General features: G+C 43.5%; 1 protein-coding gene and 1 non-coding gene across 15 annotated transcripts; one reads left to right on the forward strand and one right to left on the reverse strand.

Annotated features, from left to right (window-relative positions):
• HFE-AS1 (HFE antisense RNA 1) lies at positions 1,470 to 6,214 on the reverse strand. Its single transcript, NR_144383.1, has 2 exons — positions 5,903 to 6,214; positions 1,470 to 3,342 (listed from the first exon to the last, which is right to left on the reverse strand).
• Positions 2,609 to 13,523, forward strand: HFE (homeostatic iron regulator). Of its 14 annotated transcripts, none has more exons than NM_001406751.1 (7): positions 2,609 to 2,696; positions 6,021 to 6,284; positions 6,494 to 6,769; positions 7,789 to 7,821; positions 7,907 to 8,140; positions 8,299 to 8,412; positions 9,366 to 13,523. In NM_001406751.1, exons 1-7 carry the CDS (start codon positions 2,621 to 2,623, stop codon positions 9,404 to 9,406), a joined length of 1,038 nt encoding a protein of 345 aa, NP_001393680.1. In that variant the 5' UTR covers positions 2,609 to 2,620; the 3' UTR covers positions 9,407 to 13,523. The 14 variants fall into 14 exon arrangements, 13 of the variants coding, with proteins under 13 accessions (NP_001393680.1, NP_001371093.1, NP_000401.1 ...); NM_001384164.1 differs by lacking the exon at positions 7,789 to 7,821 and having other exon boundaries at positions 7,865 to 8,140; positions 9,366 to 9,398; positions 9,584 to 13,523; NM_000410.4 differs by lacking the exon at positions 7,789 to 7,821 and having other exon boundaries at positions 7,865 to 8,140.

The raw sequence follows: 15,665 nt of genomic DNA on the forward strand, positions 1-15,665 counted from the left end.
AAGGTTAAACAGTGTTACCATATGACCCAGCAAACCCACTTCTAGATATATAACCAAAAGAAATCAAAACATAAGTCTACAAAAAAACTTGTACATAAATGTTTATAACAGCACTATTCCCAATAGCCATAAAGTAGAAACAAACCAATGTCCATCGGCTGATGAATGAATAAATAAAATATGTTGTGGTATGTCCTTATAATAGATATTATTGGTCCATGAAAAACATACATAAAAACATTATGCTAAATGAAAGAAGCCAGTCACGGCAAAGCAATATATTATATGCCTCTATGTATACTAAATGTTCCAAATAGAAAGAAAGTAGATTAAAGATTGTCTAGGGCTGGGAGGGGAGGAGGAGGAGAATGGAGGAATCTGGGAGGCGATGAATTAAGGGTACTGAATTAGGGGAACATGGTTTCTTTTTGGGGAGATAGAAATGTAAAATTTTGGTAATGGTTGCACATCTCTGTAAATATACTAAAATCCATTAATTTTTGCATTTTATTTTATTTATTTTATTTTTGAGACGGAGTTTCGCTCTTGTTGCCCAGGCTGGAGTGCAATGGCATGATCTCGGCTCACCACAACCTCCGCCTCCCAGGTTCAAGCGATTCTCCTGTCTCAGCTTCCCGAGTAGCTGGAATTACAGGTGCATGCCACCACACCCAGCTAATTTTTTTTTTTTGAGATGAAGTCTTGCTCTTGTCTCCCATGCTGGAGTGTGATGGCACGATCTTAGCTCACTGCAACCTACGCCTCCCGGGTTCAAGCGATTCTCCTGCCTCAGCCTCTAATGTAGCTGGGATTACAGTTGCCTGCTATCACGCCCGGCTAATTTTTGTATTTTTAGTAAAGACGGGGTTTCACCATGTTGGCCAGGCTGGTCTCGAACCCCTGATCTCAGGTGATCTGCCTTCCTCGGCCGCCCAAAGTGCTGGGATTACAAGCGTGAGCCACTGAGCCGGGCCAATTTTTGCATTTTACATAGATGAATTATATGGTATGCTAATTATATCTTACCAAAAATTGAAAAAAAGGAATAGTACTATCAGCCCCAATGTGCCCATCATCAATATTCTACATGTTTCCAATGTTATTGTATCTGTTTGCCTACAGTCGAGGCCCTGATATCCTGTTTGATTTTCTTGAATTGCCAAAATTTGCATACATGCTTACAAAAATAATGCCTGTTGAATTTGCTAGATATGTAAAGGTTTGGAGCAAATCAGGTGTATTAAATTTATTAATATTGTTTGAAATGTCTAAGGCAATAATTCCCAAACTTCGTTGAGGGAGAAGGAAAGCTTTTAAAATCCCATTGCCCAGGTGGCATCCCATACTGTTACTGGGAATTATGCATTGGGATGGATCCTTTAACCGAGGAGATTATTATAGCCGGAGCTCTGAACCAGCAATCTCAGTTCTTGTGATAGTGAGCAAAGAACTACAAACTAACACCAAAATGCAAGCTTAAAGCAAAGTTTATTGAAGCACAATAATACACTCTGAGGGACAGCGGGCTTATTTCTGCGAAGTGAACTCAGCACTTCTTTACAGAGCTCAAGGTGCTTTTATGGGGTTTGTGGGGAGGAGTTGAGGTTTGGGCTGTATCTGAGTGACAGGATGATGTTATTTGATTGAAGTGTATAGCTATACAATCTAAAATTAAACTGTGCATGGTCTTACCTATAATTTGTTAAGAAAAGCCTCCCAGGGATGGGGGGGCAAAACTGTATGTAAATTCTATTATAATGATGGCATGATGAACTTGGGGTGAACTTGAAGACAGGCTTTTGTGTTGTTGGGCATGTGCCACCTTAGGGAATTTCCACCTGTACCCTCCTTTCTCTTTCTCCAGGATATTTTGGCCACAGACTTTATCATAAACTCCATCCCTTAGGGTGGCATTAGGGTAGTCTTGGGCCTGAATTTAGGTGGGCCAGTGGCTGTCTTAGTGACAGCCTTTCCGCTCTCTTCTGTCATCCCCTCCCAACTGCTAATGTCTAACTACCTAACAATTACCCATTAAATCAGTGTGTCTGGGGTTAGGAGCAGGCCTCAATATGTTTAATCATTCTCCAGATAATCCCAATACTGTAAAGTTTGTGAAACACTTGTCAGATAATTCAATTATGAAGGCTGTGGAAGGTGTTTCAGTAGGATCTAATTGGTTAATGTTATGACTTAATTAATTTGAATCAAAAAACAAAATGAAAAAGCTTTATATTTCTAAGTCAAATAAGACATAAGTTGGTCTAAGGTTGAGATAAAATTTTTAAATGTATGATTGAATTTTGAAAATCATAAATATTTAAATATCTAAAGTTCAGATCAGAACATTGCGAAGCTACTTTCCCCAATCAACAACACCCCTTCAGGATTTAAAAACCAAGGGGGACACTGGATCACCTAGTGTTTCACAAGCAGGTACCTTCTGCTGTAGGAGAGAGAGAACTAAAGTTCTGAAAGACCTGTTGCTTTTCACCAGGAAGTTTTACTGGGCATCTCCTGAGCCTAGGCAATAGCTGTAGGGTGACTTCTGGAGCCATCCCCGTTTCCCCGCCCCCCAAAAGAAGCGGAGATTTAACGGGGACGTGCGGCCAGAGCTGGGGAAATGGGCCCGCGAGCCAGGCCGGCGCTTCTCCTCCTGATGCTTTTGCAGACCGCGGTCCTGCAGGGGCGCTTGCTGCGTGAGTCCGAGGGCTGCGGGCGAACTAGGGGCGCGGCGGGGGTGGAAAAATCGAAACTAGCTTTTTCTTTGCGCTTGGGAGTTTGCTAACTTTGGAGGACCTGCTCAACCCTATCCGCAAGCCCCTCTCCCTACTTTCTGCGTCCAGACCCCGTGAGGGAGTGCCTACCACTGAACTGCAGATAGGGGTCCCTCGCCCCAGGACCTGCCCCCTCCCCCGGCTGTCCCGGCTCTGCGGAGTGACTTTTGGAACCGCCCACTCCCTTCCCCCAACTAGAATGCTTTTAAATAAATCTCGTAGTTCCTCACTTGAGCTGAGCTAAGCCTGGGGCTCCTTGAACCTGGAACTCGGGTTTATTTCCAATGTCAGCTGTGCAGTTTTTTCCCCAGTCATCTCCAAACAGGAAGTTCTTCCCTGAGTGCTTGCCGAGAAGGCTGAGCAAACCCACAGCAGGATCCGCACGGGGTTTCCACCTCAGAACGAATGCGTTGGGCGGTGGGGGCGCGAAAGAGTGGCGTTGGGGATCTGAATTCTTCACCATTCCACCCACTTTTGGTGAGACCTGGGGTGGAGGTCTCTAGGGTGGGAGGCTCCTGAGAGAGGCCTACCTCGGGCCTTTCCCCACTCTTGGCAATTGTTCTTTTGCCTGGAAAATTAAGTATATGTTAGTTTTGAACGTTTGAACTGAACAATTCTCTTTTCGGCTAGGCTTTATTGATTTGCAATGTGCTGTGTAATTAAGAGGCCTCTCTACAAAGTACTGATAATGAACATGTAAGCAATGCACTCACTTCTAAGTTACATTCATATCTGATCTTATTTGATTTTCACTAGGCATAGGGAGGTAGGAGCTAATAATACGTTTATTTTACTAGAAGTTAACTGGAATTCAGATTATATAACTCTTTTCAGGTTACAAAGAACATAAATAATCTGGTTTTCTGATGTTATTTCAAGTACTACAGCTGCTTCTAATCTTAGTTGACAGTGATTTTGCCCTGTAGTGTAGCACAGTGTTCTGTGGGTCACACGCCGGCCTCAGCACAGCACTTTGAGTTTTGGTACTACGTGTATCCACATTTTACACATGACAAGAATGAGGCATGGCACGGCCTGCTTCCTGGCAAATTTATTCAATGGTACACTGGGCTTTGGTGGCAGAGCTCATGTCTCCACTTCATAGCTATGATTCTTAAACATCACACTGCATTAGAGGTTGAATAATAAAATTTCATGTTGAGCAGAAATATTCATTGTTTACAAGTGTAAATGAGTCCCAGCCATGTGTTGCACTGTTCAAGCCCCAAGGGAGAGAGCAGGGAAACAAGTCTTTACCCTTTGATATTTTGCATTCTAGTGGGAGAGATGACAATAAGCAAATGAGCAGAAAGATATACAACATCAGGAAATCATGGGTGTTGTGAGAAGCAGAGAAGTCAGGGCAAGTCACTCTGGGGCTGACACTTGAGCAGAGACATGAAGGAAATAAGAATGATATTGACTGGGAGCAGTATTTCCCAGGCAAACTGAGTGGGCCTGGCAAGTTGGATTAAAAAGCGGGTTTTCTCAGCACTACTCATGTGTGTGTGTGTGGGGGGGGGGGGCGGCGTGGGGGTGGGAAGGGGGACTACCATCTGCATGTAGGATGTCTAGCAGTATCCTGTCCTCCCTACTCACTAGGTGCTAGGAGCACTCCCCCAGTCTTGACAACCAAAAATGTCTCTAAACTTTGCCACATGTCACCTAGTAGACAAACTCCTGGTTAAGAAGCTCGGGTTGAAAAAAATAAACAAGTAGTGCTGGGGAGTAGAGGCCAAGAAGTAGGTAATGGGCTCAGAAGAGGAGCCACAAACAAGGTTGTGCAGGCGCCTGTAGGCTGTGGTGTGAATTCTAGCCAAGGAGTAACAGTGATCTGTCACAGGCTTTTAAAAGATTGCTCTGGCTGCTATGTGGAAAGCAGAATGAAGGGAGCAACAGTAAAAGCAGGGAGCCCAGCCAGGAAGCTGTTACACAGTCCAGGCAAGAGGTAGTGGAGTGGGCTGGGTGGGAACAGAAAAGGGAGTGACAAACCATTGTCTCCTGAATATATTCTGAAGGAAGTTGCTGAAGGATTCTATGTTGTGTGAGAGAAAGAGAAGAATTGGCTGGGTGTAGTAGCTCATGCCAAGGAGGAGGCCAAGGAGAGCAGATTCCTGAGCTCAGGAGTTCAAGACCAGCCTGGGCAACACAGCAAAACCCCTTCTCTACAAAAAATACAAAAATTAGCTGGGTGTGGTGGCATGCACCTGTGATCCTAGCTACTCGGGAGGCTGAGGTGGAGGGTATTGCTTGAGCCCAGGAAGTTGAGGCTGCAGTGAGCCATGACTGTGCCACTGTACTTCAGCCTAGGTGACAGAGCAAGACCCTGTCTCCCCTGACCCCCTGAAAAAGAGAAGAGTTAAAGTTGACTTTGTTCTTTATTTTAATTTTATTGGCCTGAGCAGTGGGGTAATTGGCAATGCCATTTCTGAGATGGTGAAGGCAGAGGAAAGAGCAGTTTGGGGTAAATCAAGGATCTGCATTTGGACATGTTAAGTTTGAGATTCCAGTCAGGCTTCCAAGTGGTGAGGCCACATAGGCAGTTCAGTGTAAGAATTCAGGACCAAGGCTGGGCACGGTGGCTCACTTCTGTAATCCCAGCACTTTGGTGGCTGAGGCAGGTAGATCATTTGAGGTCAGGAGTTTGAGACAAGCTTGGCCAACATGGTGAAACCCCATGTCTACTAAAAATACAAAAATTAGCCTGGTGTGGTGGCGCACGCCTATAGTCCCAGGTTTTCAGGAGGCTTAGGTAGGAGAATCCCTTGAACCCAGGAGGTGCAGGTTGCAGTGAGCTGAGATTGTGCCACTGCACTCCAGCCTGGGTGATAGAGTGAGACTCTGTCTCAAAAAAAAAAAAAAAAAAAAAAAAAAAAACTGAAGGAATTATTCCTCAGGATTTGGGTCTAATTTGCCCTGAGCACCAACTCCTGAGTTCAACTACCATGGCTAGACACACCTTAACATTTTCTAGAATCCACCAGCTTTAGTGGAGTCTGTCTAATCATGAGTATTGGAATAGGATCTGGGGGCAGTGAGGGGGTGGCAGCCACGTGTGGCAGAGAAAAGCACACAAGGAAAGAGCACCCAGGACTGTCATATGGAAGAAAGACAGGACTGCAACTCACCCTTCACAAAATGAGGACCAGACACAGCTGATGGTATGAGTTGATGCAGGTGTGTGGAGCCTCAACATCCTGCTCCCCTCCTACTACACATGGTTAAGGCCTGTTGCTCTGTCTCCAGGTTCACACTCTCTGCACTACCTCTTCATGGGTGCCTCAGAGCAGGACCTTGGTCTTTCCTTGTTTGAAGCTTTGGGCTACGTGGATGACCAGCTGTTCGTGTTCTATGATCATGAGAGTCGCCGTGTGGAGCCCCGAACTCCATGGGTTTCCAGTAGAATTTCAAGCCAGATGTGGCTGCAGCTGAGTCAGAGTCTGAAAGGGTGGGATCACATGTTCACTGTTGACTTCTGGACTATTATGGAAAATCACAACCACAGCAAGGGTATGTGGAGAGGGGGCCTCACCTTCCTGAGGTTGTCAGAGCTTTTCATCTTTTCATGCATCTTGAAGGAAACAGCTGGAAGTCTGAGGTCTTGTGGGAGCAGGGAAGAGGGAAGGAATTTGCTTCCTGAGATCATTTGGTCCTTGGGGATGGTGGAAATAGGGACCTATTCCTTTGGTTGCAGTTAACAAGGCTGGGGATTTTTCCAGAGTCCCACACCCTGCAGGTCATCCTGGGCTGTGAAATGCAAGAAGACAACAGTACCGAGGGCTACTGGAAGTACGGGTATGATGGGCAGGACCACCTTGAATTCTGCCCTGACACACTGGATTGGAGAGCAGCAGAACCCAGGGCCTGGCCCACCAAGCTGGAGTGGGAAAGGCACAAGATTCGGGCCAGGCAGAACAGGGCCTACCTGGAGAGGGACTGCCCTGCACAGCTGCAGCAGTTGCTGGAGCTGGGGAGAGGTGTTTTGGACCAACAAGGTATGGTGGAAACACACTTCTGCCCCTATACTCTAGTGGCAGAGTGGAGGAGGTTGCAGGGCACGGAATCCCTGGTTGGAGTTTCAGAGGTGGCTGAGGCTGTGTGCCTCTCCAAATTCTGGGAAGGGACTTTCTCAATCCTAGAGTCTCTACCTTATAATTGAGATGTATGAGACAGCCACAAGTCATGGGTTTAATTTCTTTTCTCCATGCATATGGCTCAAAGGGAAGTGTCTATGGCCCTTGCTTTTTATTTAACCAATAATCTTTTGTATATTTATACCTGTTAAAAATTCAGAAATGTCAAGGCCGGGCACGGTGGCTCACCCCTGTAATCCCAGCACTTTGGGAGGCCGAGGCGGGTGGTCACAAGGTCAGGAGTTTGAGACCAGCCTGACCAACATGGTGAAACCCGTCTCTAAAAAAATACAAAAATTAGCTGGTCACAGTCATGCGCACCTGTAGTCCCAGCTAATTGGAAGGCTGAGGCAGGAGCATCGCTTGAACCTGGGAAGCGGAAGTTGCACTGAGCCAAGATCGCGCCACTGCACTCCAGCCTAGGCAGCAGAGTGAGACTCCATCTTAAAAAAAAAAAAAAAAAAAAAAAGAGAATTCAGAGATCTCAGCTATCATATGAATACCAGGACAAAATATCAAGTGAGGCCACTTATCAGAGTAGAAGAATCCTTTAGGTTAAAAGTTTCTTTCATAGAACATAGCAATAATCACTGAAGCTACCTATCTTACAAGTCCGCTTCTTATAACAATGCCTCCTAGGTTGACCCAGGTGAAACTGACCATCTGTATTCAATCATTTTCAATGCACATAAAGGGCAATTTTATCTATCAGAACAAAGAACATGGGTAACAGATATGTATATTTACATGTGAGGAGAACAAGCTGATCTGACTGCTCTCCAAGTGACACTGTGTTAGAGTCCAATCTTAGGACACAAAATGGTGTCTCTCCTGTAGCTTGTTTTTTTCTGAAAAGGGTATTTCCTTCCTCCAACCTATAGAAGGAAGTGAAAGTTCCAGTCTTCCTGGCAAGGGTAAACAGATCCCCTCTCCTCATCCTTCCTCTTTCCTGTCAAGTGCCTCCTTTGGTGAAGGTGACACATCATGTGACCTCTTCAGTGACCACTCTACGGTGTCGGGCCTTGAACTACTACCCCCAGAACATCACCATGAAGTGGCTGAAGGATAAGCAGCCAATGGATGCCAAGGAGTTCGAACCTAAAGACGTATTGCCCAATGGGGATGGGACCTACCAGGGCTGGATAACCTTGGCTGTACCCCCTGGGGAAGAGCAGAGATATACGTGCCAGGTGGAGCACCCAGGCCTGGATCAGCCCCTCATTGTGATCTGGGGTATGTGACTGATGAGAGCCAGGAGCTGAGAAAATCTATTGGGGGTTGAGAGGAGTGCCTGAGGAGGTAATTATGGCAGTGAGATGAGGATCTGCTCTTTGTTAGGGGGTGGGCTGAGGGTGGCAATCAAAGGCTTTAACTTGCTTTTTCTGTTTTAGAGCCCTCACCGTCTGGCACCCTAGTCATTGGAGTCATCAGTGGAATTGCTGTTTTTGTCGTCATCTTGTTCATTGGAATTTTGTTCATAATATTAAGGAAGAGGCAGGGTTCAAGTGAGTAGGAACAAGGGGGAAGTCTCTTAGTACCTCTGCCCCAGGGCACAGTGGGAAGAGGGGCAGAGGGGATCTGGCATCCATGGGAAGCATTTTTCTCATTTATATTCTTTGGGGACACCAGCAGCTCCCTGGGAGACAGAAAATAATGGTTCTCCCCAGAATGAAAGTCTCTAATTCAACAAACATCTTCAGAGCACCTACTATTTTGCAAGAGCTGTTTAAGGTAGTACAGGGGCTTTGAGGTTGAGAAGTCACTGTGGCTATTCTCAGAACCCAAATCTGGTAGGGAATGAAATTGATAGCAAGTAAATGTAGTTAAAGAAGACCCCATGAGGTCCTAAAGCAGGCAGGAAGCAAATGCTTAGGGTGTCAAAGGAAAGAATGATCACATTCAGCTGGGGATCAAGATAGCCTTCTGGATCTTGAAGGAGAAGCTGGATTCCATTAGGTGAGGTTGAAGATGATGGGAGGTCTACACAGACGGAGCAACCATGCCAAGTAGGAGAGTATAAGGCATACTGGGAGATTAGAAATAATTACTGTACCTTAACCCTGAGTTTGCGTAGCTATCACTCACCAATTATGCATTTCTACCCCCTGAACATCTGTGGTGTAGGGAAAAGAGAATCAGAAAGAAGCCAGCTCATACAGAGTCCAAGGGTCTTTTGGGATATTGGGTTATGATCACTGGGGTGTCATTGAAGGATCCTAAGAAAGGAGGACCACGATCTCCCTTATATGGTGAATGTGTTGTTAAGAAGTTAGATGAGAGGTGAGGAGACCAGTTAGAAAGCCAATAAGCATTTCCAGATGAGAGATAATGGTTCTTGAAATCCAATAGTGCCCAGGTCTAAATTGAGATGGGTGAATGAGGAAAATAAGGAAGAGAGAAGAGGCAAGATGGTGCCTAGGTTTGTGATGCCTCTTTCCTGGGTCTCTTGTCTCCACAGGAGGAGCCATGGGGCACTACGTCTTAGCTGAACGTGAGTGACACGCAGCCTGCAGACTCACTGTGGGAAGGAGACAAAACTAGAGACTCAAAGAGGGAGTGCATTTATGAGCTCTTCATGTTTCAGGAGAGAGTTGAACCTAAACATAGAAATTGCCTGACGAACTCCTTGATTTTAGCCTTCTCTGTTCATTTCCTCAAAAAGATTTCCCCATTTAGGTTTCTGAGTTCCTGCATGCCGGTGATCCCTAGCTGTGACCTCTCCCCTGGAACTGTCTCTCATGAACCTCAAGCTGCATCTAGAGGCTTCCTTCATTTCCTCCGTCACCTCAGAGACATACACCTATGTCATTTCATTTCCTATTTTTGGAAGAGGACTCCTTAAATTTGGGGGACTTACATGATTCATTTTAACATCTGAGAAAAGCTTTGAACCCTGGGACGTGGCTAGTCATAACCTTACCAGATTTTTACACATGTATCTATGCATTTTCTGGACCCGTTCAACTTTTCCTTTGAATCCTCTCTCTGTGTTACCCAGTAACTCATCTGTCACCAAGCCTTGGGGATTCTTCCATCTGATTGTGATGTGAGTTGCACAGCTATGAAGGCTGTACACTGCACGAATGGAAGAGGCACCTGTCCCAGAAAAAGCATCATGGCTATCTGTGGGTAGTATGATGGGTGTTTTTAGCAGGTAGGAGGCAAATATCTTGAAAGGGGTTGTGAAGAGGTGTTTTTTCTAATTGGCATGAAGGTGTCATACAGATTTGCAAAGTTTAATGGTGCCTTCATTTGGGATGCTACTCTAGTATTCCAGACCTGAAGAATCACAATAATTTTCTACCTGGTCTCTCCTTGTTCTGATAATGAAAATTATGATAAGGATGATAAAAGCACTTACTTCGTGTCCGACTCTTCTGAGCACCTACTTACATGCATTACTGCATGCACTTCTTACAATAATTCTATGAGATAGGTACTATTATCCCCATTTCTTTTTTAAATGAAGAAAGTGAAGTAGGCCGGGCACGGTGGCTCACGCCTGTAATCCCAGCACTTTGGGAGGCCAAAGCGGGTGGATCACGAGGTCAGGAGATCGAGACCATCCTGGCTAACATGGTGAAACCCCATCTCTAATAAAAATACAAAAAATTAGCTGGGCGTGGTGGCAGACGCCTGTAGTCCCAGCTACTCGGAAGGCTGAGGCAGGAGAATGGCATGAACCCAGGAGGCAGAGCTTGCAGTGAGCCGAGTTTGCGCCACTGCACTCCAGCCTAGGTGACAGAGTGAGACTCCATCTCAAAAAAATAAAAATAAAAATAAAAAAATGAAAAAAAAAAGAAAGTGAAGTATAGAGTATCTCATAGTTTGTCAGTGATAGAAACAGGTTTCAAACTCAGTCAATCTGACCGTTTGATACATCTCAGACACCACTACATTCAGTAGTTTAGATGCCTAGAATAAATAGAGAAGGAAGGAGATGGCTCTTCTCTTGTCTCATTGTGTTTCTTCTGAGTGAGCTTGAATCACATGAAGGGGAACAGCAGAAAACAACCAACTGATCCTCAGCTGTCATGTTTCCTTTAAAAGTCCCTGAAGGAAGGTCCTGGAATGTGACTCCCTTGCTCCTCTGTTGCTCTCTTTGGCATTCATTTCTTTGGACCCTACGCAAGGACTGTAATTGGTGGGGACAGCTAGTGGCCCTGCTGGGCTTCACACACGGTGTCCTCCCTAGGCCAGTGCCTCTGGAGTCAGAACTCTGGTGGTATTTCCCTCAATGAAGTGGAGTAAGCTCTCTCATTTTGAGATGGTATAATGGAAGCCACCAAGTGGCTTAGAGGATGCCCAGGTCCTTCCATGGAGCCACTGGGGTTCCGGTGCACATTAAAAAAAAAATCTAACCAGGACATTCAGGAATTGCTAGATTCTGGGAAATCAGTTCACCATGTTCAAAAGAGTCTTTTTTTTTTTTTTGAGACTCTATTGCCCAGGCTGGAGTGCAATGGCATGATCTCGGCTCACTGTAACCTCTGCCTCCCAGGTTCAAGCGATTCTCCTGTCTCAGCCTCCCAAGTAGCTGGGATTACAGGCGTGCACCACCATGCCCGGCTAATTTTTGTATTTTTAGTAGAGACAGGGTTTCACCATGTTGGCCAGGCTGGTCTCGAACTCTCCTGACCTCGTGATCCGCCTGCCTCGGCCTCCCAAAGTGCTGAGATTACAGGTGTGAGCCACCCTGCCCAGCCGTCAAAAGAGTCTTAATATATATATCCAGATGGCATGTGTTTACTTTATGTTACTACATGCACTTGGCTGCATAAATGTGGTACAAGCATTCTGTCTTGAAGGGCAGGTGCTTCAGGATACCATATACAGCTCAGAAGTTTCTTCTTTAGGCATTAAATTTTAGCAAAGATATCTCATCTCTTCTTTTAAACCATTTTCTTTTTTTGTGGTTAGAAAAGTTATGTAGAAAAAAGTAAATGTGATTTACGCTCATTGTAGAAAAGCTATAAAATGAATACAATTAAAGCTGTTATTTAATTAGCCAGTGAAAAACTATTAACAACTTGTCTATTACCTGTTAGTATTATTGTTGCATTAAAAATGCATATACTTTAATAAATGTATATTGTATTGTATACTGCATGATTTTATTGAAGTTCTTGTTCATCTTGTGTATATACTTAATCGCTTTGTCATTTTGGAGACATTTATTTTGCTTCTAATTTCTTTACATTTTGTCTTACGGAATATTTTCATTCAACTGTGGTAGCCGAATTAATCGTGTTTCTTCACTCTAGGGACATTGTCGTCTAAGTTGTAAGACATTGGTTATTTTACCAGCAAACCATTCTGAAAGCATATGACAAATTATTTCTCTCTTAATATCTTACTATACTGAAAGCAGACTGCTATAAGGCTTCACTTACTCTTCTACCTCATAAGGAATATGTTACAATTAATTTATTAGGTAAGCATTTGTTTTATATTGGTTTTATTTCACCTGGGCTGAGATTTCAAGAAACACCCCAGTCTTCACAGTAACACATTTCACTAACACATTTACTAAACATCAGCAACTGTGGCCTGTTAATTTTTTTAATAGAAATTTTAAGTCCTCATTTTCTTTCGGTGTTTTTTAAGCTTAATTTTTCTGGCTTTATTCATAAATTCTTAAGGTCAACTACATTTGAAAAATCAAAGACCTGCATTTTAAATTCTTATTCACCTCTGGCAAAACCATTCACAAACCATGGTAGTAAAGAGAAGGGTGACACCTGGTGGCCATAGGTAAATGTACCACGGTGGTCCGGTGACCAGAGATGCAGCGCTGAGGGTTTTCCTGAAGGTAAAGGAATAAAGAATGGGTGGAGGGGCGTGCACTGGAAATCACTTGTAGAGAAAAGCCCCTGAAAATTTGAGAAAACAAACAAGAAACTACTTACCAGCTATTTGAATTGCTGGAATCACAGGCCATTGCTGAGCTGCCTGAACTGGGAACACAACAGAAGGAAAACAAACCACTCTGATAATCATTGAGTCAAGTACAGCAGGTGATTGAGGACTGCTGAGAGGTACAGGCCAAAATTCTTATGTTGTATTATAATAATGTCATCTTATAATACTGTCAGTATTTTATAAAACATTCTTCACAAACTCACACACATTTAAAAACAAAACACTGTCTCTAAAATCCCCAAATTTTTCATAAACTCAGTTTTAAACTAACTTTTTTTCAAACCACAATCTGATTTAACAATGACTATCATTTAAATATTTCTGACTTTCAAATTAAAGATTTTCACATGCAGGCTGATATTTGTAATTGTGATTCTCTCTGTAGGCTTTGGGTATAATGTGTTCTTTTCCTTTTTTGCATCAGCGATTAACTTCTACACTCTAACATGTAGAATGTTACTACAATATTAAAGTATTTTGTATGACAATTTTATTTGAAAGCCTAGGATGCGTTGACATCCTGCATGCATTTATTACTTGATATGCATGCATTCTGGTATCTCAAGCATTCTATTTCTGAGTAATTGTTTAAGGTGTAGAAGAGATAGATATGGTGGATTTGGAGTTGATACTTATATATTTTCTATTTCTTGGATGGATGAATTTGTACATTAAAAGTTTTCCATGGCAGAAATCTTTTCAAAAACTTTTTTTTTCCGGGATGGATTGAAGGCCCTGATTTCACCACAATGCAATATATTAATGTAGCAAAATTGTACTTGTACCCCATGAATATATATAATCTTAAGAAAATTTTTTTAGCCAATTATTATTACTTACTAGATATTAGGCTGTGTTCTGAATCTTAATTTAATTCCTCCAAAGAATCTTATGAGGTAGGTAGGAGCTATTGCTGCTATTCTGTTATGCTTATGTTGCTGTTATGAAACCAAGGCACAGAGAGGTTAGTTAACTTGCTGAAGAAAATGATGTGCTGGATTTTTATTCTAGCTATTCTGGAATAACAACTACACAACCTTATGTCTGAGCCAAGGAAACATACGGTGTGGCAACAGTTACCATGTTTTTAGGAACAGCAGCACTCCTAATGTTTGCTGCAGGGAAAAAGGAATCTCAGAATTTGCCTGATCCCTATAATTTTTTTCCTAAATATTTTGAAATATCTTTCAGATGTATTTTAAAATTTAAGGATATTTTGTTCAGTTCATACAGAATTTTTTTTTTTTTCTCGAGATGGAGTCTCACTCTATCACCCAGGCTGGAATGCAGTGGCATGATCTCGGCTCACTGCAACCTCTGCCTCCTGGGTTCAAGCAATTTTCCTGCCTCAGCCTCCCAAGTGGCTGAGACTACAGGCGCATGCCACCATGCACGGCTAATTTTTTTTGTATTTTTAGTAGAGATGGAGTTTCACCATGTTGGCCAGGCTGGTCTCGAACTCCTGACCTCAAATGATCCGCCCTTTTTGGCCTCCCAAAGTGCTGGGATTACAGGCGTGAGCTACCGCGCCCAGCCAAATTTCTAACTTGTTTTGTTGTTGTTGAGACAGGGTCTCAGTCTGACACCAAGGCTGGTGTGCAGTACTGCGATCACGGCTCACTGCAGTCTCGACCTCCTGAGCTCAAGTGATCCTCCCACCTCAGCCTACTGAGTAGCTGGGACCACCACGCCTGGCTCATTTTTTTCTATTATTTATTGAAACGGGTTCTGGCTATGTTGCCCAGGTTGGTCTTGAACTCCGGAGCTCATGCGATCCACCCACCTCAGCGTCCGAAAGGATTATCAGGAGTGAGCCACCGTGCCCGGCCAAATTTCTAACTTTTGAATTGACATATTCATTTATTCTCTTTATCATTCAGGGAGAAATTTGGGGATGGATAGCCTTGAAGCATCATCCACCAAGTTATTTTATACACCAGATTTAGATACAAAGTATTTTTTTATTATTTAAAAAAATCAAATTCTAGCTTTTACTCTGAAGATTCTAAAAAGAATTTTGGAGTCTTTAATTCATACTTCAGGGGCAGGGGAATAAGTACCAATATTCGTATAACTTTCAGTGCAAGTCACGTTAGCTAACTGTAGTCTATTGAGTTAAATATCCTTGATTTATTCCTTAAAACTGAGTCACTATGACGGCACTTTTTTGTTTTTTTTTTTCGAGACGGAGCTCGCCCTGTCTCCCAGGCTGGAGTGCGGTGGTGCGATCTCGGCTCACTGCAATCTCCGCCTCCCAGGTTCAAGCGATTCTCCTGCCCCAGCCTCCTGAGTAGCTGGGACTACAGGCACACACCACCACGCCCAGCTAATGTTTGTATTTTTAGTAGAGACAGGGTTTCATCATTTTGGTCAGGCTGGTCTTGAACTCCTGACCTCGTGATCAGCCTGCCTCGACCTCCCAAAGTGCTGGGATTACAGTCATGAGCCACTGCACCCGGCTGAATGGCACTTTCATAAAACAGTAAATAACCAACTTCACTACTGCCCCCAAGAGTTTTACTATGTATATGAGGGCATCTGTTTTAAGTATGGGTATAATGTTACGGGTTTTTCTTTGTGTAAGTTTGGGTTCACAATTTCATCATTAAAACAAATGTAAAATACTTTGTGCTTTCTGTGTGCTATTAAGAAAGTATTCAAGGGAATTTTGAAAATCAAATTTAATTACTCTCATGTTTGTAAAATTTTTGAAACAAATGTTTAAGAGAGGATAATGTTAGAAATTATCTTTCCAGCCAGACCTGGTGGCTCACGCCAGTAATCCTAGCATTTTGGGAGGACAAGGTGGGCAGATCACTTAAGCCCAGGAATTCAA

The sequence above is a fragment of the Homo sapiens genome, chromosome 6 (assembly GCF_000001405.40).
Source record: "Homo sapiens chromosome 6, GRCh38.p14 Primary Assembly".
Lineage (NCBI taxonomy): Eukaryota > Metazoa > Chordata > Mammalia > Primates > Hominidae > Homo > Homo sapiens.

What these genes read in the sequence shown, in the direction of transcription:
- HFE (NM_000410.4), top strand. Translation starts at nt 2,621, where the DNA reads ATGGGCCCGCGAGCCAGGCCGGCGCTTCTCCTCCTGATGCTTTTGCAG. An exon ending in AAATCACAACCACAGCAAGG is followed by an intron (nt 6,285 to 6,493) that starts GTATGTGGAGAG and finishes GGATTTTTCCAG; the next exon opens with AGTCCCACACCCTGCAGGTC. An exon ending in AAGGAAGAGGCAGGGTTCAA is followed by an intron (nt 8,413 to 9,365) that starts GTGAGTAGGAAC and finishes TTGTCTCCACAG; the next exon opens with GAGGAGCCATGGGGCACTAC.